Raw genomic sequence first — 23,352 nt, 5'->3', positions numbered from 1 at the left:
TCAAGCAAGAGGCGGAGGAGGCACAGACTACGGTCTCTGTTTTGATAAGGAAACTGCCAGCTGTCGAAAGTTAACCAGCAGAGAGGGGAAGATGGCCCAGGAGCCAGCCCCTCCTGAGTTTTAAACTACACTGTTTTCTGTCCAGATATTCCAATGGAGACAGTTGGAAAACCTGTACTTCAGAGAAAAGAAGTTTTCCGTGGAAGTTCATGACCCACGCAGGTAAGCTTGAAAAGTCCTTTTCTTGCGGGATGGCGTGGCTCTCGGCCGGGCGTGTTATGGATATTATTTTGGGGCTGTCGTTGTTCATGGTCAGTTTGGAGCAGGGAGCGAGGGTGGGGGCTCCTGGGGAATGGAGCTCAAATCAGACAGTGAAACTTTCTTTTCAATTACATGTGTTGATAAATGCAGTGGGTTCGCACGTGTGTGTAAGTAGCAATCCCCTGACTGTCTCATCTGGCCACATGTGTCCCTGGCTCGTGTGTGTGTGTGTGTGTGTGTGTGTGTGTCAGTGTATGTGTTTGTCTTACCTGCCGGGGCACTGGAAGGAAGCTTTATAGCACTTTGTAACACACACCAGTAAGTCCCCATAGGAAACTTTTGCTATAGAAGAGTCTGAAGAATCCCTCATTAGAGCTTCTAAAAGTATTTCAGGCAGGACGGTCAATGCGAAAATGAATTTGTCACCAAAGCAGTTGTGCTACGTTGTTTTATTCCAGGAGCTGTAATTTTAGGATGTTAGTATTGTGGGTGGATGTGAAAGAAATGAAATTATTTTTCCCTCCACCCAAAATCGTACCCCAGAGAGCACCAGGGTTGTAAAAAGTCCCTGTACTCTTAAGTCAGATGCAAGACAGTGGGGCCCCAGGTTGGAATGCAGGGAGCCCCAGGTGGCTGGGGTCTGGGCAGCTCATACCCACTGTTTTCCTCTCTTTGTCTGCCGCTGGACCTAAAGTTATATGCATCCCCAAAAACAGCAGCGTAATTCCCTAAAACCAGGCCTGACAACTAAGAAATCACTTTCCATAAGGTCAGAGACATTTACAATAAGAAGGTAGCCCCAGGGAGACAGAAAAAAGATCAGACTCTACAGAGGAGCAAAAGTGGGTTTTAGGCGCTGTTGACGCTCCAGCCCTGGGCTTAGAAGGAGGACTTGGCACCAATTCCAGCTCACACATGGCTTCTGATGCTCAAAACAAGCTGCAGTCCCTCCCCATGAGCTCTGGACAGGAGGGAGATTTGGAGTTACCCCGCCCAGTGAGAGGGCTTGGACCTGTGCAGTAGCCCCTGTTCCTGCAGCCCATGATAACCCGGTAGGAATGAAGCCGTGCTTGCCCTCCAGGGTAATCTGCCTGAAACAGCCACTCCTGTGTAGGGCAAGAGCTTATCTCAGCACCACGGTTACTACAGGAATAGTTAGTGGAGAGCAGCTGAGAGTTTCTGCATCTCCACAGTCAGGTGAAAATGGTAGCCTTTAACAGAAAAATATTTTATCCGGTGTTTCTCAGGGCCCTGCAAGGGGTTTCGCGGCCAGAAGCCCCACTCCATGGAGCACAGATCCATCTGTGCAGGCCAAGTGGGGTGGGCGGGGAGATTTCAAAAATAAGATTCCAGCCAAGAAGAAACTCACTGTTCATTTTCCAGGTGAACTGAATTGGACCAGGTTCTTAGGCATGTAAGAGAGGGGAAATTTAAGTACAGAAAGAGTGAAATGAACTTTGCCACAATGGGTCAGATGCAGAAAGGGGATGCTCCATAGGATAAAAATGAGGGGCTGGGTAATCTAAGGGGCTGAGCGCAGGGAATAGACCCTCCGCCATGCCTGTGCTCTGCTGGGAATTCAGTGAACACCCAGGCACCTTGGACAAATCCTTTAACCACGCACGCATATATCTGCACATGTGTGTTCGTGTTCTCTGTGCGTCTGTCGCCCTATTGGTGAGTACTGCTAAACTCTCTTTACCAAAGCCCAGGGATATAGGAAAGAATCTAGATCTCACACGTGACTATTCAGTGGGCCTGTCGCCTATTAGACAGCAGTGATCAATGTCATGTTTCTTGCGAAGCTTCTGTGTCCTTGTCGGGTGCTGTGGCGGGGAAGGAAGGAAGTCGGAGGCAGGGTCTTCTTCCTTAAAGATCTTCTAGTGTAACTGAGAAGACAGGCAGAAGAAGGAACTTTTATTTTGAGACACGGTCTCATTCTGTCGCCCATGCTGGAATGCAGTGGTGCAATCATAGCTCACTGCAGCCTCCACCTTCCAGGCTCAAGCAATTCTCCCACCTCAGCCTCAGCCTCCCGAGTAGCTGGGACTATAGGTACACACCACCGTACCCAGCTTTTTTTTTTTTTTGGAGAGACTGGGTCTCACAGTGTTGCCCAGGCTGGTCTCAAATTCCCAAGCTCAAGCAATCCTCCCATCTTGGCCTCTCAAAGTGCTGGGATTACAGGCGTGAGCCACTGCCTGGAACCTGGCTGAGAAGAAGGAACTCATGGAGTGTCACAAGAAACAAAGAAACCTGCTCTAGACGACAAGTAGCTAGTATACAGGAGAGGCAGGATTTGAACCTAGGAGGTCTGGCTCCAGAGCTCATGCCCTTTATCTCTATACTGTACAGAAGGGCCAGACGTCGTGGGCCATGAAGGGTGAAGGACAGGGTCACCAGAGGCCTGGCTGGTCAGGAAGGGAGAGGCTTACCAGGAAGGAGAGGTCTGAGTTGGACCTGGAGGGGTAACTAGGATTAAAGCCACGTGGTAGGGCCTCAGGGGGATATAGATGTCAGGTGGGGGCTTCTCAATTAGGATAAACAAATGAGGGAGGGTCTGGCTGGAGGGAAGTGGGAGTTGGAGGAGCCCAGAGGAAGAAGCAGAGCTGTCTCGTCCCAGGCAAACTCGCTCTGAGTACACTGAGTTAGCCTGCAGACAGGCAGGAATGGGGGAGAGGCCCAGGGAGGCCAGAGGTGGAGACCCGGGATGACTTCAGCATTAAAGACACACAAGGAAAGGAAATGGCTTCAGGTCAGTTATTTAGCATGGCAGAGCCAGAGCTATGAGCTGTAAGATCTTTCTTGCACTCAGTTCTCTTTTTCACATCCTAGTGGTGCCTTTTTTCTCTTGTATTGAGAGTTACTATTTCACGTATTCATGAGCCACGTGTGAGTGCGTTACATGCATAGAACATGGAATGATCAAGGCAGGGTACGTGGGGTATCCATGGCCTTGAGTGTTTTTTTGTTTGTTTGTTTGTTTTGTTTTTTGAGACAGAGTCTCACTTTGTCCCCAGGCTGGAATGCAGTGGCGCCATCTCGGCTCACTGCACCCTCCACCTTCCAGGTTCAAGCAATTCTCCTGCCTCAGCCTCCCAAGTAGCTGGGACTACAGGCGTGCGCCACTACACCCAGCTAATTTTTTTATTTTTAGTAGAGATGGGATTTCATCACGTTGGCCAGGATGGTCTCAATCTCTTGACCTCGTGATCCACCCGCCTCAGTGTTTACTATTTTTATGTTGGTATCATTGCAAGTCCTCTCTTCCAGTTACTTTGAAGTGAACCTCGCGGTGCTTTTTAAGTTGAATGTGTCATCCTATTGCTTGTGGCCTTGCTTATTTGAGGTAGGGAAGAGGAATGTGATTGGCCTCACGTTAGTTTGGTGTTCCGGGCTCAGCCCCTCCCCCAAGCCAGGAAGGCAGTCAGAACTGCAGTAATAGGATGGGCAACGCCAGATACGGTCATTTAATGAAGATGTAATCGATGGGAATGATTCAGGGCAGAGGCTGCTTTCTGGGCCGATGGGCTCAGGTGTGATTGCACCATTCCCTGTGGGGCACTGGACAACACTGTGCACTTTCTCCCCCTGGGCATCCTAACTCAATGCTTAGCTTCATTTCTGAGCTTCTCCAGGCTGGGCCAATATTTCACTTCTACGGTTTGGGTAAAATAGGAAGGGCTTGAAGCGAAAGATGAGGAGAGGAGATAAAGTAATGATAGAGCAGGAGAAGAACTCTGAGTATCTGATTTAGATGCTCCGGGGAACTACCCGGACCTGACCAGCCACTTACCTCTTCTGCCCTCCCGGTACCTGAGAAATGGAGGTACCTAGCCTTGCACCACCTTTCAAGATACTGTTCTTGTCTAATTCAGCTTTTCTGGGGGGAAAAAAAAGTCATTCATTTATTTCCAAGAGCAAGAACTGCTATGGAAGCCAAGCTGGGAGCACAGATCCCTGTTTTCTTTTAAATTTAGAGAGACTGGCGAGGGATCTCCCCCTCGCTCTCTCCCTGGCTCCTTTTTTCAATTATTTTCAACTGTGTGCTCTTTCACGCTCTGGCTTTTTTTTTTTTTTTTTTCCTTCACTTTTGTTGGAACCGAAGGGAGAAAAAACCTGTGTGGACTCAGTAACATTAACCACCGGATCTGAATTTCTCCTTAAAAGTGAGGGTGAACAAGACTCCACTTTAAATCTTTAGCACCCCCGACCCCCGCCCAAAGTAAGATATTGCTGGCAGCTTTGTTTTCTTTAAGGGAAAATTAGCCATGAAAAAAAATGTTATTGTTTGTAAGTCCTGATTACCCCCAGGTTTCTTCCAAATTAGATATGTTAGTCTTGAGAACATACATTTTGTTTCTGATGTCCATGTAAAATGCCCCAAATCCCAGCCCACCTTCCTGTCAACTTGTCTCACATGCATGCGCACACACACACACACACACACACACACATGCAAACACACATTCTTAGATTTCATTTGCAAAATAATCTGCCTATCCTATAAAATATACTTCACTAAGAGCATGACCATATAACTCCCCCTAACTCCATGAATGTGGAGATGAACAGTTCCCGTTTTCACTTTTAAAGTCTGATTACTCCATGTAGATTTAAAAATGTATAGACAGGGCCAGGTGCGGTGGCTCATGCCTGTAATCCGAGCACTTTGGGAGGCCGAGGCAGGTGGATCACCTGAGGCCGGGAGTTAGAGACCAGCCTGATGAAACCCTGTCTCTACTAAAAATACAAAAAAGTAGCCCGGAGTGGTGGGGGGCATCTGTCATCCCAGCTACTTAGAAGGCTGAAGCAGGAGAATTGGTTGAACCTGGGAGGTGGAGGTTGCAGTGAGCTGAGATCTTGCCAGCACGCTCCAGCCTGGGTGACAGGGCAAGACTCCATCTGAAAAATATAAATGAAATGTATCGACAGACGTTGGGGGAATTGGGGCTGGGCACATTTCTCTCTGCCTTTCTTCTCCTGATTCTTTATACCCTCCCTGCCCTCTGAATAGATTGGAAATTGATCACCAAATCTTCAAGGAACATTGGGTTAGTTATATAAGAAGTCCCAATTCCCTGGGACGCTGTAGCCTGTGGTGATTAGAAAATAATTTACTCATCCCCACCGTAGGCACATTTCCTGTCTCATAGGGAGCATCATTGAAGGTTTTCCTGTCTGCGAAGTTTGTCTTGGCCCAGTGCCAAGTCCAGGATCGAAAAAGGACCATCCATTGACCTAGAATGACCCATCTTATCCCAGACAAGGCCGAGGCTTGGCCAGATTCTGAACTCTAGGGAGTCAGAAAATCAGAAGGTGGCCTTTGCCCAGCCAATGATGTCTGTAAGCTGTGTGCGCATGTGTGTGTGTGTACGCCTAGGTGTATGTGAGAGCTCATCTATCATCTTTACGCCAGGGCTTCTAGGACGCAGTGGGTTCTCTACAGAAGCTGTTGACTGAGAAATGGTTTCTCTCAACAGAAATGGGATTGAACCTTGTGATTCTTGCTTCCCCAGGGCTTCAGTGACAAGGAGGACGTTTGGGCACAGCGGCATTGCAGTGCACACGTGGTATGCATGTCCGGCATTGATCAAGTCCATCTGGGCTATGGCCATAAGCCAACACCAGTTCTATCTGGACAGAAAGCAGAGTAAGGTGAGTGACCAGACCTCTCACCAAGCCCGGGCCATTGTCTGCCTCTCTTAGTTTAGGAATGAGGATCGGATGGGTGGGGGAGGCGCCATGTCCCTTGCCCGGGTCCATACCTTGCACAGATACAGGCTTGCCTCTTAGGGCTACAGATGGGAGGGATGAGACTAGCTCTTCAAGAGGGCACATTCCATGCATCTTGGTCCAGGGGGCTCTGACCACCATCAGAGCCGCTCAAGCCGCTGACTGCAGCCAGGTAGGCCCCTTTTGAGGAATTCCCACTGTGCTTTTGGCCCTCGGGAGAATCCTCTAGCAGCGTGAAGGCAAGCCCTTTTTGGTGTTTAAACAGTGGTATACTATCTTCCTTTTGAAAAGAAAAAAGGAATCTTTCTCAACGAATAGACACCACCTAACTGTTTAGGGTAATTGCTGTGAAAACCCTCAGGCGGTTCCAACTGCCAACTCCATTTTTTTTTTTTTAATGCAAAACTGGAAACGTTAAAAAAAAAAAAAAAAAAAAAAAAAGCAACTACCCTGTTTCCCTAAGGTAGACCTAGAGCCTGGGGCCTTGGTAAACAGACTTCCTCCAAGGAGATGTCACCACCCCTGACTCTGGGCACGCAGCTGCGTTTTCTGGTGGGTGAGAGGATGACGTCTCCTTGGTTCACACAGGGCTTATATCAACACTCTGCCCCCTCTTCCTCCAGCCCTGTCTCCCCAGACTCCCCTGTCAGCCCCCCACAAGCCACTCCCATTCATTCTCCCTCAGGGGAAGAGCCCTGCCAAGATGGCCCTGCAGCTTCTCTCAAGATCCTGCTGGCTTGGGCTGGGGGAATACAGACTGAGGTCACCCTGGGCCCCTGGGCTAGTGGTTTCTAGCACTTACGGAGGATTTCCCTCCATCGCGTGAGTTCTTGGGAGAAGGTGGCAAGATGCTCAACTTACTGGGCACAAGAGTCACTGAATCGGTGCCCTCTAGGGTTCTTTCTCTTTTGCCATCTTATCCATATTTTAAGGGGTTTCTCTTTTTCTGGGGAAGAGGAGAGTGAGCGAATTGGGGGTCAAGGGGGAGGTGATAAGAGAAAGAAAAGAGGACAGGGCTGGGCACAGTGGCTCACATCTGTAGTCTCAGCGCTTCGGGAGGCCAAGGCAGGAGGATCACTTGAGCTCAGGAATTCCAGACCAGCCTGGGCAACATAGTGAGACCCCCATCTCTACTAAAAGAAAAAAAAAAGAAGAAAAGAGGACAGGACGAAATGAAACAATCCCTTTAGTCATAATTCAGTTTTAAATTGGGGTCTGTCCCCCGCAGCCGTCATTTTATCCTTTGTAAAATATCTTGTCCTCTACTTTCTGACCCCCTTTTTGGTCATTTTCTGGGATGAATGAGCGCAGGACAGAGAATTTCTGTTGTTAGGAATAATGACAGTATTCTCCGCAGCTCTCCTGGCAGTGATGGGTCCTAGTCCTAGCGCAGGAATTTGAAGCTCGATTAGATCAAAAGAAATGGGGCCAAAGTGTTTTTGACTCATGCTCGATATTGACACAGTGGGTGGGTGTCAGGGTTTTGCTGTCCAGGGGCAACAGTTGGAGGTCGACACCTGAGAACGTTAATTTCACCCTCTGTGGTTGGGTGATGGATGGTGGGGGTTAGGGGATTGGGCAATGCTCCTGAACCCCACTGCCAGTTCCCCTTGACGGCAGACCCCCCACGCACTGTACCACAGTGTGGACAGAGGAAAAGGTGTATCTCGCCCTGAGGATAGCACAGCATTGGCTGTTCAAGCTCCTCCTCTCTGCGCCGGTTTTTGCATAGGCGGTCTCTTGAGCATTTCAAGAAACTTGTTCTTATGGCTTTCCTGCTGCACCCGGGAAGATGGGCTCATTCTGCAGTTGGCAAGCCTTGTTGTTGAACAGGCTAACAGGTCAACTCACTGACACAGCAAGTATATCTCAAAAGGAAATTATTGGCCGGCCGCCATGGCTCACGCCTGTAATCTCAGTACTTTGGGAAGCCGAGGAGAGCAGATCACTTGAGGTCAGGAGTTCGAGACCAGCCTGGCAAACATGGGGAAACCCAGTCTTTACTAAAAATACAAAAAAAAAAAAAAAAAAAAAAAACAATAACCAAGCATCGTGGCAGGCATCTGTAATCTCAGCTACTAGGGAGGCTGAGGGAGGAGAATTGCTTGAACCCAGGAGGCAGAGGTTGCAGTGAGCTGAGATCACACCACTGCACTCCAGCGTGGTTGACAGAGTGAGACTCCATCTCAGAAAAAAAAAAAAAAAAAGATTATTGTAGATAAATTAGCAACAAGACGTGTCTTTTAGGAGGTAAAACCAAATGCCCCATAGCATTAGGAATGTTTCAGCTGTCCCTTTTGTAAAAGTAACCCTTGGGGACTGAAGAAAATGCCCACGCTCCCAGAAGGAGAAGGAGAACATTTCCCAGGAAGCCTGGCATGCTCACAGATGTCCTAGAGCCCTCACACTTCTCACAGGAACCAGTTCCCCAGCCTGCAGTGACAGGTGAGGATCACAACCCTCTATGTGGGAATTGGAGGCCTCTGTTTTCCAGCTCTGGGACCCCGGGTGGGTCTTTCATCCTTGGTGTTTTGCTTTCCCCAATTAGCAGCAAAGGAAATTCCTGACCTCAATTAGTGATTGGTCAGATGGCACCACGTTTGTGAAATTGCTTGAGGAAATACGTGCCATCTTTTACTAATGTCATAGTTAATCTAGCATACTATCACTGGCCAACACTTGCATGAAGTTTAAATTCTCTAAAAGGCCCGCAAATTAAATCAGAGATGATGACGTACCCTTTGGGAATTACATTACAACACCTTTCTGTTTCTGGAATGTTCTTTATAGAACAGCGATGTGATTGATCTCTGATGGGCAGCACGGCCTCTGGGTGAGTGATGGCCGACAGGGCTGGGACAGAGAGCTTCATAACATTTCTAGGCAGCCAGTTCTGGCTGGTATCCTGGCCACTGCTCACACTCTACTGTACTGGGACATGCCAACCATTCCTTTCTCTGAAGAGCTTCAGCAAAGCCCAGGCCTCCCAAATGATGTTTATCAACCCTAGAGAGACAAGTGAGGTCTAGTGGTTCGAGTCAGCAAGGGTAGGGAGCCATGAGGGTTCAGGTGCTCCCCTGACACTCGGGTTTTTTCTTCTTTCAGGGTCACTGTGCAAATCATTTAAGGAAATCTCTCCTTCTTTCTCTCTGCCTGTCTCTCCCTCCCTCCCTCCATCAGCTCTCCATGCATATACATCAAGAAACCATTCTACGATCTAAGACAGGGCGGAGGGAGGCTGTGCTGGTTGGTTATTTGTAGCTCCTTCAGAATGAGAAGCTGCACAGGCACCAATTATAATTGGTAACTTCTATGCTGACCCCAGAGATCAGAAACGTTGTCTGCTAGATCCCAGCAGCCTCTGAAGCCCAGAGCCAAGGAACGTCTTAGAGACTTTGCAGGAAAATATTTGAAAGTTCAAAATGTTTAGAGTCGACATTAGACACTTTTCCCTCTGAACTCAGAGTGGGGACTTCTTGAATTGGCCCCCAATCCAAACGTCTTTCCTTCTTCCTAATCTTTTTTTTTCTCTCCCTGATGCAGTTCACCATTTTATTTAGAGTCAAAGGCAGAGTCAAAGGGGGACAGGGACATTGAAGCTTTGTTCCCACAATATCAGACAGAAGACTGAGTCACGTGTATCAGCCAAGACTCCCAGACCAAAATGTTCCAGAGTCTGGGGACTCCTTAAGGTCAGCCCAGAGACCTGACTTTGCAAAGAGAGACTCTCCCCGACAATGCCCATGTCCTCCCGGTCCTCTCCCCACCGAGTCTGTTAGGTCGCTGTGATATTTTCCATTCTAGAAAGAATCCGGACCGGGCGCAGTGGCTCATGCCTGTAATCCCAGCACTTTGGGAGGCTGAGTCGGGCAGATCACCTAAGATCAGGGGTTTGACACCAGCCTGGCCAACATGGCAAAACCCCGTATCTACTAAAAATAGCCAGGCGTGGTGGACCACATGTGTGGTCCCAGCTACTCAGGAGGCTGAGGGAGGAGAATCGCTTGAACCCAGGAGGCAGAGGTTGCAGTGAGCTGAGATCGTGCCACCGCACTCCCCCAGCCTAGGCAACAGTGTGAAACTCTGTCTCAAAAAAAAAAAAAAAAAAATCCAGTAGTTTGCTAAAGCTTCCATAAGGCTTCCAGGAATCTAGTCTCCTTTAGGAAGGATGCCTTTTGATCTCATATTTTTGTTTTAAGAATGATGTGTGGCAAGAGTTCTGGTATGACAAGGGGGATAAGTTTTTCATGTGATTAATGAGGTCCCCAAAATATCTGGTTGGGCCATCAATCTAACCTCAGTTAGCAAATTACAGCCAGGCCCTAATGCAGATCCTATTCTTATTACGATGGCCTTTACATAAATTATCTACTTTAGTTATCACAACTCTGGGATGTGGGTTTTAAGACCTCCATTTTACAAACATGTATCTGAGAATCAGGAAGGTGAAGGGTCAAAGTCCGATAGTGATTCACTGGGAAGAGCCAAGATTCTAATTCAGGTCTTTTTTTTTAGACAGTCTCACTCTAGCACCCAGCCTGGAATGAGATCAGGCAGTGGCGTGATCTCAGCTCACTGCAACCTCCGCCTCCCGGGTTCAAGCAATTCTCCTGCCTCAGCCTCCAGAGTAACTGGGACTACAGGCGTGTGCCATCACACAAGTCTAATTTTTGTATTTTTAGTAGAGACAGGGTTTTGCCATGTTAGCCAGGCTGTTCTCAAATACCTGGCCTCAAGTGATCCACCCACCTCGGCCTCCCAAAGTGCTGGGATGGACAGGCTTGAGCCACCATGCCCAGCTCTAATTCAGGTCATTCTGACTTCAGAGCCCAGACCCTTCACCCAGCACTGAATTGGTCTAGGCCTTCGTGAGTTATTGTTACATCACCGTTTGGGAGTGGGCTACTTTTTATTAAAACCTGGGTCTCCATAACAGAGCGATGTAGAAAGAAAGGAAGTCATGGGTTGTACTCGCCATGCTTGCTTAGAGGGTAAAACTCAACCAGATGGGCGCAAATGATAGGCTGTGTCAAAATGAAATAAAAAGCCCTTTTCCTTCCTTCTGCGGCAAGCCAAAATCCTTCGAGGGCCTGGCAGCCAGGATTGTTTTATGAACAAGGAAATTCGCCTGAGGAAGTCGACTTCAGTCTGAATGCAAGGAAAAAAGTTGAGGTTAGCAAGGAAGCATAAGTCGAGGAAAGGCCCACGGGGTAGGGAGGAGGAGGAGGAGGAAGACAATTCACACCAGGTGAAGAAAACAAGCGCCATGCCTCAGTGTTTCCTCCAGCCCGCAGACTTCCATCGTGTTAACATGAGGTCGGAAGTCGCTGTCCTTGCCAGTGTGGACAGCAACGTCGAGGGCAGAGGAAGGGCAGAGCTGCAGGCATTCAGACAGCCCTGGCTGGACAGTAAGGGCCCCCAGGCACGGAAGGTAGGCTGTACACGGGGCATCCAGGAGTGGTGGGTCCACACCCCTCCATGGCCTTCACCACCGCCCCCATGCCTGCTTTCTCCTGTGTGGGAAAGACCTTGGGTTCCACAGGCCAGGCAGGAAGCTACAATGGTGAACCTCGCCCAGTCCGTGTGTGTGCTGTAGACAGTGGCCACAGAAAGGACAGATGAGCAAGTGACCGTTTCTAGTTGTTTTCACGAAGTTCTGTGTACTGGCAAAGCCTGTTGCCTTCAGCACACTCACAAAAAGTTGATTTCCTGAAGAAGAAAACAAGCAAACATTGGACACACGTGTGGGAAATGCAAACAAACACATTGTCACTACCGAAGGTAGAAACTGGAGCAGATACCTTATAAAAACCACTGCTTTAGCCAGGCGCGGTGGCTCACGCCTGTAATCCCAGCACTTTGGGAGGCTGCAGCGGGCGGATCACCTGAGGTCAGGAGTTTGAGACCAGCCTGGCCAACATGGCAAAACCCCGTCTCTACTAAAAATATAAAAATTAGCTGGGCGTGGTGGTGGACACCTGTAATCCCCACTACTCAGGAGGCTAAGGCAGGAAAACCACTTCAACCCAGGAGGCAGAGGTTGCAGAGAGTCAAGACTGGGCCACTGCACTCCAGCCTGGGTGACTGAGACTCTGTCTCAAAAAAAAAAAAAATTTTTTTTTGAAAAACCGCTGCTTTTAGGAATGTCAATGTGAACATAGAGTTTTTTCTAATTATTCTTACCTGCTGTGACTTTTAACCAAATAGAGCCAGTCAACGTGGATTAAAGGGAGTATCCTTTGAACCATAATAGGAAGACTAGGGCAACATGTACTTAGGTATCAAAATAAGCAAAGCACCGTGTCAGACGTTCGTTGGTGGGACCCCAGAATCCAAATGAGCAGTTTTTCCACAATCATGCACCCTGTGATTGCAGGTCTAGAGATCTGTCATTGTCATTTCTCTCTTTTTTTTTTTTAAGAGACAGGGTCTCACTTTGTTGCCCAGGCTGGGGTGCAATGGTGCAATCACAGCTCACTGCAGCCTCCAACTCCTGGGCTCAAGCAATCCTCTTGTCTCAGCCTCCCCAGTAGCTGGGACTACAGGCATGCACTACCACACCTGGCTAATTTTTTTGTATAGATGGGATCTTGCTATGATGCCCAAGCTGGAGAACCACTGTCACTTCTCCATCAGCTAAACTTTCCATGACCACATGGCAAACTATTTAAGAGGTTTAAATCTCTTAGGTCTTTCACAGCACTGAAAATCATTTTCTCCTCCTTGTTTAAGCACTAAATAATTATAACCACAGTGTTTGTTGAGAGCTGTGTGCCAGGCAGATAAGGAGGAAGAGGGGAGGACAGGGGAGTTGGGAGGGGAGGAACACCCTTCCCACACTTTTTCTCCTTTGACCCGAACCAACCCCTGGGTGGTGAGTGGCATCTACCCTGTTTTGTGGCTGGGAATAATAAAGCTCAATGAGATTAAGTCACTTTTCCTAAATCAGGACATTCTCTTAAGCACAAAGCAGTGCAGCCTACAGAATCGGAGGCTTAGAACATCCTCAATTGATGCAGCTCTTGAGCTGCCTCTGCTCTTCGCAGAGAGTTTCGGTGATTAATGATGAGGCCAAGGGATGCAAACAAAAATGCTGCACATTAGTCAGGGAGATAAGTCCCTTTGCGGAATGTCAAGACGGTGAGCAGGCGCGGGCGAGGGATGACTGTCCTTTCCGCAAGGTGAGCGTCACTTCTTTGACCTGCTTCCCTTTCCATTCCAGTCCAAAATCCATGCAGCACGCAGCCTGAGTGAGATCGCCATCGACCTGACCGAGACGGGGACGCTGAAGACCTCGAAGCTGGCCAACATGGGTAGCAAGGGGAAGATCATCAGCGGCAGCAGCGGCAGCCTGCTGTCTTCAGGTAGGCAGAGGCCAGCTGGAGGGACGCCCCCTGAGCATGGCTGGGACCCCAGAGGGGACCCAGGAAGGTGGGGAGAGCTGCAGCTGGGGAGACTGCAGGGCAAGCTGCTCCAAAGCTGGCTTTGCTTTCCAGACCAAGGTTGGGATCCAAATGCGAATCTGAGAAAACTGCTCCCAGGAATCAAATAGTGGAAGGGAAAAAAAAAAAAAAAAGCATCAGTAGAACCACGCAGTGCAAGAAGGCCTGCTGGTCACACTTAAGTGTCTTCAGGTACCCCCCAGAGCGTTTCACAATCCCCATGGCAAGCTGTCGGGAATGTCAGGTCCAAGGGTGAAAAGTGGAATCCGCTCATGTGCCCACTTGTGTGTTGTGAATTTCAGGATCTGGTGCCAGGAGACACTGCATTCTACTCCCAGGTGGGTTTCTCCGGCTTTTAAAAATGCGGAATACTCTCTCCATCGTGTCGCAGGGCATGATTTCTCCATTCAGTGCCTTTTGAAATTGCGAGTCAGAGATCTGGTTCCGTCGTCCGCTTCCGCCAGCCTTGGCCAAGTCATTTTGTCTTTTGATGTTGGGAGGGACAGAGGAGTTCCAAGGTCCTGGATCTGACTGACTTAAAAAGGGGGGTGTCATTTACTGAAATGGCAGGAGGAGGAGTGGGTTTGAAAGAAGCAGAGAGGAAGGGAGGCAGCCGTGGTTTGGAAATGTTAGAAAAGGGCATTGTGGCCGGGCACGGTGGCTCACACCTCTAATCCCAGCACTGTGGGAGGCCGAGGCTGGAGAATCACTTGAGGCCAGGGAGTTTAAGACCAGCCTGGGCAATATAATGAGACCCCGTCTCTACCAAAAAAAAAAAAAAAAAATTAATTAGCCAGGTGTGGTGGCACAGCACCTGTAGTCCCAGCTACTTGGGAGGCTGAGTAGGGAGGATCACTGAACCCTGGAGGTTGAGGCTGCAGTGAGCAGTGACTGCACTGCCCTCCAACCTGGGTGACAGAGCAAGACCCTGTTTCAAAAAACAAAAAAAGAAAAGTGGAATATGAGAAAAAAACCTGATTGATGTAGGAACCATGCAGCTGTCTCTGAGCCACGCAAAGAAGGCAAGAAATCTTCCCTGGTAATTTATATTACTATATATAGTGGCTGTAAACAATAACAAAAAGGAAAAGACAGGAGAGGAAGAGGAGCTAAAAATTGTCTCGTTAGCTTGTGGGCTGGTGTGATCCAATCATAGCCAGGAGAAATTTAAAGGACCAGAGAGAGGACAGACATCCTTCCTGGACTGAGAGGCGAGGTTACTGTTCTGGTGAGTGGAGCGTTAAGTTGAAGGCCCCTCCTTGGACAGGCTGAGGCCCTCCGGGGACCTTAGCAGTGTGTTCACACGGTCATGTGTTTTTATAAAATCTGTGAACATAATATGTTTTGTATTTTTCTTCAGTAGAACCGCTAAAGGCCAGTGTGGTGGCTCAGGCCTGTAATCTCAGCACTTTGGGAGGCCAAGGCAGGTGGATCACCTGAGGTCTGGAGTTGGAGACCAGTCTGGCCAACACAGTGAAACCCCATCTCTACTAAAAATACAAAAATTAGCCGAGTGTGGTGGTGCACACCTATAAGCCCACTACTTGGGAGGCTGAGGCAGGAGAATCACTTGAACTCAGGAGGCAGAGGTTGCAGTGAGCAGAGATCGTGCCAGTGCACTCCAGCCTGGGCAACAGAGCAAGACTCTGTCTCAAAAAAAAAAAAAAAAAAAAAAAAAAGCTGCTAAAATTTTATAAGCTTCAAGCCCCATAAACCTAGATCTGCCTCTGCCACATCACCTGGGGTCCATTGTCAACCCCTCCCTGCCTTAAGTTCTTCGAAAATATTTCATCCAAAAAAATGGGGTCAATGCTCATTCTTTCTGAAGCTTGGGAGTTGGCCATGAAGACTGCAGAGAATGTTGTCTTCAAGGATCAAAGAGAATGAAATTCAAAGACCAAGACCCCTACCTCGAATTACAGCCGCTCCCAGTCTCCTGCTGAATGACCTAGAGCAGAGTCAGAGCCAACACCTTGTTTGTGTTTTAAACACAACCTACAATCGCGTTTTTTCCTAACCCTGTGAAAACCCAGTGTCAGATGAGAGAGGCTGCATCTATCAGCCCACCTTCCCCCTTAGCACAGGGAATCTGGCTGACTTCAGCTTGGATTCTTGAAGCTCAGTGGTTCTCAAACTTCGGCGTGCATCGAAACCACTTGGAGGGCTTGTCAAAACCCCTCTCAGAGCTCCTGATTCTGTAGGTCTGGGGAGAGCCTGAGAATTTACACCTCTAACAAGTTTCCGAGTGAGGCTGATGCTGCTGGTCTAGTCGCTTTAATTGGGGAGACTCTCTTGTTGCTGAGGAAGAGACAAGCTTGGGGTGGGTGTGTTGCCCAGGCTCATAGAACCCAGGTGTGCCCAGTTTTAAGCCCGTGTCCTGGTCCATCTGCACGGGCCCCCTTGTATCTGGCAGACTCCAGGGGGCACCAAGGCAGCAATTTACCTTAATAGCAGCTATAGATGAGGCTGTGAACAGGAGCCCCAAACCTCCTGAGATGAAATTGACATCATGCACCATCAGAAATGAAATCTGGCCGGGCGCAGTGGCTCACGCCTGTAATCCCAGCACTTTGGGAGGCCAAGGCAGGCGGATCGCTTGAGGCCAGGAGTTAGAGACCAGCCTGGCTAACGTGGTGAAAGCCCATCTCTACTAAAAATACAAAACTTAGCCAGGCATGGTGGTGCACACCTGTAATCCCAGTTATTTTCGAGGCTGAGGCAGGAGAATCACTTGAACTCAGGAGGCGGAGGTTGCAGTGAGCTAAGATGATGCTACTGTACTCCAGCCTGAGCGGCAGAGTGAGACTGTGTCTCTCTCACACACACACACAAATGAAATCCAAGTGTCTTTAAGACTTAAAAGCAGTACATCTCTATGACTCCCCACAGGCTGGACTTTGCTAATCAATCTGGTGGGCTAGAAGAGAAATCCTAAGAAAACCTTCCTGCTTAATCCATCTGTACACCTAATAGATAAGCATCGGTATACCAATACAATGAAGCGATCTTCAAATGCTTTATCATTCAGCGCTGGGGCCCCAGGCTGAGGTGATTAGGAGTTAGTAGTAGCAGCTGGGGCCACTTGCAGAGCGGCTCCCATTGTCAGCTTCAGTGCCCTCAGCCCTTTCTGCAGCTGCACAGCTGAGCAAGAAGAAACCCTGGTGAGAAGGTGAGAAAGCCCCATGACTCAACCCGAGGGCAGGTCCCACTCTTACCAGCCCTGCAAGTTTGAGCCTGAAAAACATCCTTTAGTGCCAGGGTGGAGGCTCCTTGGGGTGCCCCACACCCACCTCCTGTGACTTAGGAGGGCCAAGACAGTGGGGGGACGCACTGCAAACAGGAAACATTCCATCAGGGAACAAAGGGAATTTCTAGCACCCCTAGATCTTGTTCTCCCTCCCGCTGGGATGGCTGACGGCTGCCTGTGTTTCCTTGCACCAGGAGGATAAAGCTTTCCCGTGATGAAAGCATTGGCAGCGCCATCTGGAAGGGGCTGATTCGACATCCCTTGCAATGGGGAAATCTAGCCTTGGCCTGAAGATCTAGGCGGCTGGCTCATCTCCATCCCTTTCTTCCTGCCTTTCTGCCCTCTTGCCTAGAATGTGTTCCCACAAAGGGGACAAGCCCCGCTGCTTGCAATTCCAGGAGAGCTCTAATTGTTAATACTCTTATTACACTTGCCGGATTTTATTTTCTGATGTTCATTCAGAAAAGGTGATATGTATAACCCAGTGTCCAGTTGGGTCAACTGTTTTCTCTCTTTCACCTCCTTGTTAGATAGTGTCTAATAATTGTTCCTTAAAAGCATTTTGAGAAACTAGTCTCCATTTCAGAATTTTCTAATACTTGCCCAGTACCCAACACCCAATAGGTGTTTGATGCACAGTTATTGAAATTGAATTAAATTGTGAAGGATACTAATAAGACTCCTGCATGTGCTGTGTTTTAGGAATATTCACCCCAGCACAGTGGCTCACGCCTATTCAGGAGGGTAGGGGTTTGGGGCGGTGGGGAGGATCACTTGAAGCCAGGAGTTCCAGACCAGCCTTGGCAACATAGCAAGACACCATCTGTACCAAAAAAAAAAAAATCTTCTTAATATAGCTGGACATGGTGGTGCATGCTTATATTTCCCACTACTTGGGAGGCTGAGGCTGGAGGATCACGTGAGCCCAGGAGTTCAAGGCTGTAGTGAGCTATGATGGTATCACTATACTAACAGCCTAGGTGACAGAGTGAGACCCTGTCTCTTAAAAAAAAAAAAAAAAAAGAATCTTCTAATCTATGTTCCTAGAGTGTATGGTACCCTGGGCCTTGCTGATACCTCCCATAGGATCTGTCTCCAGTACTTTTTTTCCCAAATTATATTGTAAGCCTTTGTCACACTGGTATGAGACCTTTAAAGTTTGTGTCACGTCAGTGTCCTGCAGTAGTATCCATCTTGTCATCTTTCAATTATTCTCTGACCCTCATCTAAACCCAAATCATGGTGTGTCTGAGCCATGTCACAACACTGTAAGATTTCTGTGGTATAAACATTTCTGCTAGCTCCCAACTCTGCCAGGTACTATACACAGCATTTTACAAAGTTATAGCCCTCCCCCCCCCCCCCCCCCCCCCCGCAAAGAGTTTGTGTACTGCTCATTGATTTAAAAAAAAGACGTAAAATGTTTCTAAACTATTAGTAACTTTGAAGGTGGTTTGCCTGTTTAAGGACACATAATTACCTTTAAAACTACTGAAGTCTAGTACTTGGTATCTGAGGCCTCAGATGCTGAAGAAATGAAGAATGTCATTGATACCTATTAAAGAAGCCAGGCCAGGTGCAATGGCTCAGGCCTGTAATCCCAGCACTTTGGGAGGCCAAGGCAGGCAGGAGTTCGAGACTAGCCTGGCCAACATGATGAAATCCGGTCTCTACCAAAAATATAAAAATTAGCTAGGCGTGTAATTACACACCCATAATCCCAGATACTTGGGAGGCTGAGGCAGGAGAGTTACTTGAGCCTAGCTAGGAGGCAGAGGTTGCAGTGAGCTGAAATTACACCACTGCATTCCAGCCTGTGAGACAGAGCGAGACTCTGTCTCTAAAATAAGTAAATAAATAAAAAAGAAGTCAATATCCATACCTACCAATGCCCTGAGCCACGGATTAGCATTTCAAATAAAAAAGTCAACATAGTTGACTGTAGATTTTGCTTCATTTTTATTTTTTAAACCCAAGATCCGTCACCAGATTCTTTTTTTTAATAGTAAATTTTTTAATTTTTTTATTATTATACTTTAAGTTTTAGGGTACATGTGCACAAGGTGCAGGTTTGTTACACACGTATACATGTGCCATGTTGGTGTGCTGCACCGATTAACTCGTCATTTAGCATTAGGTATATCTCCTAATGCTATCCCTCCCCCTGTCCCCCACCCCACAACAGTCCCCAGTGTGTGATGTTCCCCTTCCTGTGTCCATGTGTTCTCATTCTTCAATTCCCACCTATGAGTGAGAACATGCGGTGTTTGGTTTTTTGTGCTTGCTATAGTTTGCCGAGAATGATGGTTTCCAGTTTCATCCATGTCCCTACAAAGGACATGAACTCATCATTTTTTATGGCTGCATAGTATTCCATGGTGTATATGTGCCGCATTTTCTTAATCCAGTCTATCGTTGTTGGACATTTAGGTTGGTTCCAAGTCTTTGCTATGCTGTCACCAGATTCTTGACAGTCCTGCTCATCACACTGCAGATGACTCAATGGCAGATGATTTCAGCGTAGTTAAAGTGATTGGTTAAGGCTTGAGATCAGGGCCCTGAATCCCGTAGTAGTGATACGCAGAGCTGTCCCCTGTGAGACCCCGTAGACCTGTATTTAAGTGGAGGCCCTTAGAGGTGGTGAACCATCTGAATCAGAGCTGTAAGCCTGTGTTGGAAGAAAAGGAATGAAATTCTCACCTCCCCATGCAGCACTGAGTGGCATTCAGATGGGAGGAAAGTCGTGGAACCCGCGTCCTGAATCCATTTGTGCAGGTGCTCAGTGCCTCTGTTATTGACCACTGGAGGGGGAGCAGGCAGGGTGCATTGGATTCACTCTGCCCTGTGACAGCCCAGTGATTGCTTCCACATTTGTAGCTGCGTCTCTCTGTTGCTTTCACTCCTAAGTCTTCAGGTAACACATTTGCAGAAAGTTCAGGTACAGTTTGAGAGAACAACTATGAATTCAAACCATCTGGTTAAGACATGTTCAGGGTCTTTTAAAAAAAGAATCCAAAATCCATGTTGAAAGAACTTGAATGGGTTTATTCCTTCCTTCCCATCTCATGTTACTTGAAATTCCAGAAAATGTTGGAGGGGAGAAAAAAGGGAATAACAACAACAAAGCAACAATAACTGGGTGTATCTTTGTAGGTGAAGACACACAGCCCATTCATAGCTTGTCTGAAAGTGAGACAGAGCCTGAGATTTGTTCTAAGTGTTGTTTTGGGGATTTGCCATCAGAGAACAGCTCATTCATTCATTCATTTTGTTTTTTGAGATGGAGTCTTGCTCTGTCGCCCAGGCTGGAGTGCAGTGGCATGATCTCGGCTCACTGCAACCTCTTCCTCCCGGGTTATCTGCGATTCTCCTGCCTCAGCCTCCTGAGCAGCTGGGACTACAGTTGCCCACCACCACATTTGGCTAATTAATTTTTGTATTTTTAGTAGAGATGGGGTTTCATGATGTTGGCCAGGATGGTCTCGAACTCTTGAGCTCAAGTGAGCTGCCTGCCTCGGCCTCCCAACATGCTGGGATTACAGGCTTGAGCCACCACACCTGGCCAAGCCATCAGAGAACAGTTCTGATTTCAATGGGAGTTAGGAGAGTTAGTTTTTGTTCTCAGGCTTTTTAAGGAAAATAGCACAAACCCACTTAGGAAATACCCAGTGTGCTGCAGGGACGTGTGGCTTGTTGTATTAACCACTGAAACGAATAAATGGGACTGCAGCATTTCTTAAATGAGATGATGAGGCTGATCTTGGCTTCTCGACTAGAAGTCTAGGGCCATAAACGACCCATTCTCTGTAAAACTAAGGGATATGTTGTGTTTTCAAGTAGGAATTTGGCTGTGTGATTACTGAGATGGCCATTGAGTCATCTGCAGTGTGATCAGCAAGATTGCGAAGAATCTGGTGATGGATCTTGGGTTTAAAAAACGAGAAATGAAACAAAACTTGCAGTCTGTCATTGTACCCTGGCTCTGACACTTTCTGTTCTGGGAGAAAACAGGTTGTGCTAAACATGGGCCTGGCATTGCCTGGGATCCGTCCACATTCAGTCCTCAGCTGTTGACACACTCCCATTCTCTGAATGCTAGCACTTCCTCCCATTGTTAAGGAGTTTATTAATAACTAATGTAACAATGAGAGTGCCAGCTATCTGACATCTCTCCAAACAGAGAGGGGAGCTGATAGGCTCTGTCAGCGTCATGATGGCGGCTGTGTTCAGCTCAGAATTCACTGCCTTGCGCTGATATAAATCACACGACGTTTTTCGGTTTTGTCTTCATCCCTTCTCTTTTGTCCTTCCTCCTTCTCCTCCCTGTATCTCTGTTCCTGGCCTTTTAAAGTCCTCCATTACCCATGGCCTGTGGCCTCTCCTTTTAGGTCTAACAATGGACAGGATTCCAGGGGCCTTAATTTTGGTCATAGCCTCTGCTCTGCCCCAGGGCGCAGCCAAAGTCGGATTGTGCCAGGGTTTGTTTATGCTGGACCGTGTGCCCAGGGAGAGCTGCGAAATCTCTTTCTGGGGAATGGATGGTTCTGGACATGTTTGAGCAGGACTGGCCTGAGTCAAAATTGAGAGGGAGACAGAGTCGTTATCCCTTTCTGTTCTTATTTTGGGGGAAATAAAGACAAAGTCATTTACACAGCTATATTTATCCCCTGAGGTGTTACTAATAAAGGAGCATTTGCCCACTAAAGGGAACCAGGACCAAATGACAATGTATAACCTAAATGAATGACTTTCCAATGATAACTTTTTTTTGAGACAGGGTCTCGCTCTGTCGCCCTGAGTGCAGTGGTGCAATGCTAGCTCACTCCAGCCTCAAACTCCTGGGCTTAAGCGATCCTCCTGCCTCAGCCTCCTGACTGGGTAGGACTGTGATGAAATTTTAAATACTAAAAAGAGATATAACTATCACTTCCCACGAGCGTTTCTCTGTTCCCATTTAGGGCCAGCCCTCTGTTGCAGTGCTCCTTTGCTGGGAGCACAGAATGAGGATGACTGAAATTCACAGTTAACCTGCAAACGTTGGTATTGCAATAGCCTAACAAGCTTGGACCCAGAAGATAGGTCAGCTCCCTCATTTCACAGCCTAAGAAATGGAAACTGTAGGATTTACAAACCATAGTTTCAGCTGGGTATTTTACTGGATGCTGCTAATTTTTTAAAATGAATGTTCAGTTATTTTTTTCCATTCTCCTCTCTCTCTGTTAAATTACATTTGCACTCTTCACCGAGTGCCAGTGAGCCATGGAATCTAGCCAGAAAGCAAAGCTCTTCCAGAGACTCCCAGCCACCATCAAAAGGTGCTTGGTTTTCAAAGAGCTTCAATTTCAATGCTCTCTGAAATGAACTATTTTATTTCTAAAATTTCTAAGCCTGATGAAAAGTTCTCCAAGCATGCATTTTTTCATGTTAAAAATCACATCTAATTCTCTATAACAGTCCCCAGAGATGACACGTTTATCCTGCAGTCTGCAATGTGGCATTATTTCCCGTGGTCTCCTGGGACATCTTTTATGTAAGGAATTCATCACTGAGGATTTGTCAAGGAAATAAATATCTTTTTATCATAAAGAAGAATTCTAACCTTTTCCTCATATTTATTCCTGGGATGTCTGCCAAAACTTTTCCTTACAGCTTTTACTGATCTGCTGGGAATATACCGCCTTCTTCATTTTTTTTTTTTTTTCTCTAAGGTCTAAAGAGACGGATTGTCATTTCCCTTCTTTAGTTCTAGAACAACCGATTCCTTTCTTCTTTGGAGCATTGTTTGCTTTGAAGTTTCCCCTCCTTCCAGAGAGGAAAGCACCCCTTCTCTGTCTTCTGAAATCAGTGGCTGGTCATCAATATCCCCTCTGTGTCAAAAACAGATGAGCCACGCGTGGCTCCTGACAACGTCCTCCTGGCAGAATGTGCGCTCATATCCGGTGCTGAGTCGCCCAGGGTCTTCTGAACAATTGGAGCATTTCTGGCTCGCGGCTGAATGAGGCTGAAAGAGGCTGTCCTTCCATGTGTCTGCCGGCCGGGAGGAGAGCTGCTGTTTGTGCTGCTGGCGTTGCCTCCACATCCGCTCCTCCACACCCAGCTGTCCCCGGCTGGAGTCTGGAGTTCCCCGGCTGGAAGCTGGGAAACCCACAGTGACACAGGCAGTGTCTCCAGGGTCTCAAACAATGTTCATAGCATCGGGAAGTTCACTCCAAAGATTTCCAAATGCCCCCGAAAATGACTTTCTGACTTGGCGTGAGTAACTCCATCTCTCTCTCTGCTTGGATGGGAATTGTCTTTTTAGGGTCAGCCCTTTTTGTCTTCCTCGTTGGCCAGATTATTAGTGAACTAGTTCAATGAAAATCCTTTGGATTAGGATTGAAATGTGCTCATAAGGTCGCCAAAAACAACAGATTCTATCTTTAGTATCATTCAAGTAGATCATTTCCTCCCGATAACTGGGAGGAAAGATTTTTTGCTGGAGAACTGACCTGATGACACTGTTTTCCTGACAATAATTCAGAGGCAGGCTTAACCTTCTCAGAGAGGCAATAAAAAAAGTCACCCAGCTGGGTGCAGTGGCTCACGCCTGTAATCCCAGCACTTTGGGAGTCAAGGCGGGCAGATCACTTGAGGTCAGCAGTTGGAGACCAGCCTGGCTAACATGGT

The 23,352-nt window shown here is 47.7% G+C and overlaps 1 protein-coding gene across 4 annotated transcripts in view, besides 3 other annotated features; it reads left to right on the top strand.

The window, feature by feature from the left end:
* FRMD4A (FERM domain containing 4A) overlaps positions 1-23,352 on the top strand; it is a 687,219-nt gene that overhangs the window by 623,666 nt on the left and 40,201 nt on the right. For all 4 annotated transcript variants that reach the window (NM_018027.5, NM_001318336.2, NM_001318337.2 and 1 more), the window contains 3 exons: positions 146-222; positions 5,781-5,919; positions 13,220-13,361. In NM_018027.5, coding sequence (NP_060497.3) covers positions 146-222; positions 5,781-5,919; positions 13,220-13,361 — 358 coding nt within the window. The remainder of the gene's footprint in view (positions 1-145; positions 223-5,780; positions 5,920-13,219; positions 13,362-23,352) is intronic.
* Positions 6,466-6,515: a silencer, noted in NCBI's record as "silent region_2157". NCBI's record gives its function as "represses an Ori minimal core promoter by ATAC-STARR-seq in GM12878 lymphoblastoid cells {active_cell/tissue: GM12878}" and the evidence as "EXISTENCE:reporter gene assay evidence [ECO:0000049][PMID:35858748]".
* Positions 16,184-16,740: an enhancer, noted in NCBI's record as "NANOG-H3K27ac-H3K4me1 hESC enhancer chr10:13732519-13733075 (GRCh37/hg19 assembly coordinates)". NCBI's record gives its function as "activates a minimal SCP1, AML or CMV promoter by ChIP-STARR-seq in naive H9 embryonic stem cells {active_cell/tissue: H9 hESC(naive)}" and the evidence as "EXISTENCE:reporter gene assay evidence [ECO:0000049][PMID:30033119]".
* Positions 20,433-20,552: a silencer, noted in NCBI's record as "silent region_2156". NCBI's record gives its function as "represses an Ori minimal core promoter by ATAC-STARR-seq in GM12878 lymphoblastoid cells {active_cell/tissue: GM12878}" and the evidence as "EXISTENCE:reporter gene assay evidence [ECO:0000049][PMID:35858748]".

The sequence above is a fragment of the Homo sapiens genome, chromosome 10 (assembly GCF_000001405.40).
Source record: "Homo sapiens chromosome 10, GRCh38.p14 Primary Assembly".
NCBI lineage: Eukaryota > Metazoa > Chordata > Mammalia > Primates > Hominidae > Homo > Homo sapiens.
This window is presented reverse-complemented; position numbering and strand designations above follow the sequence as displayed.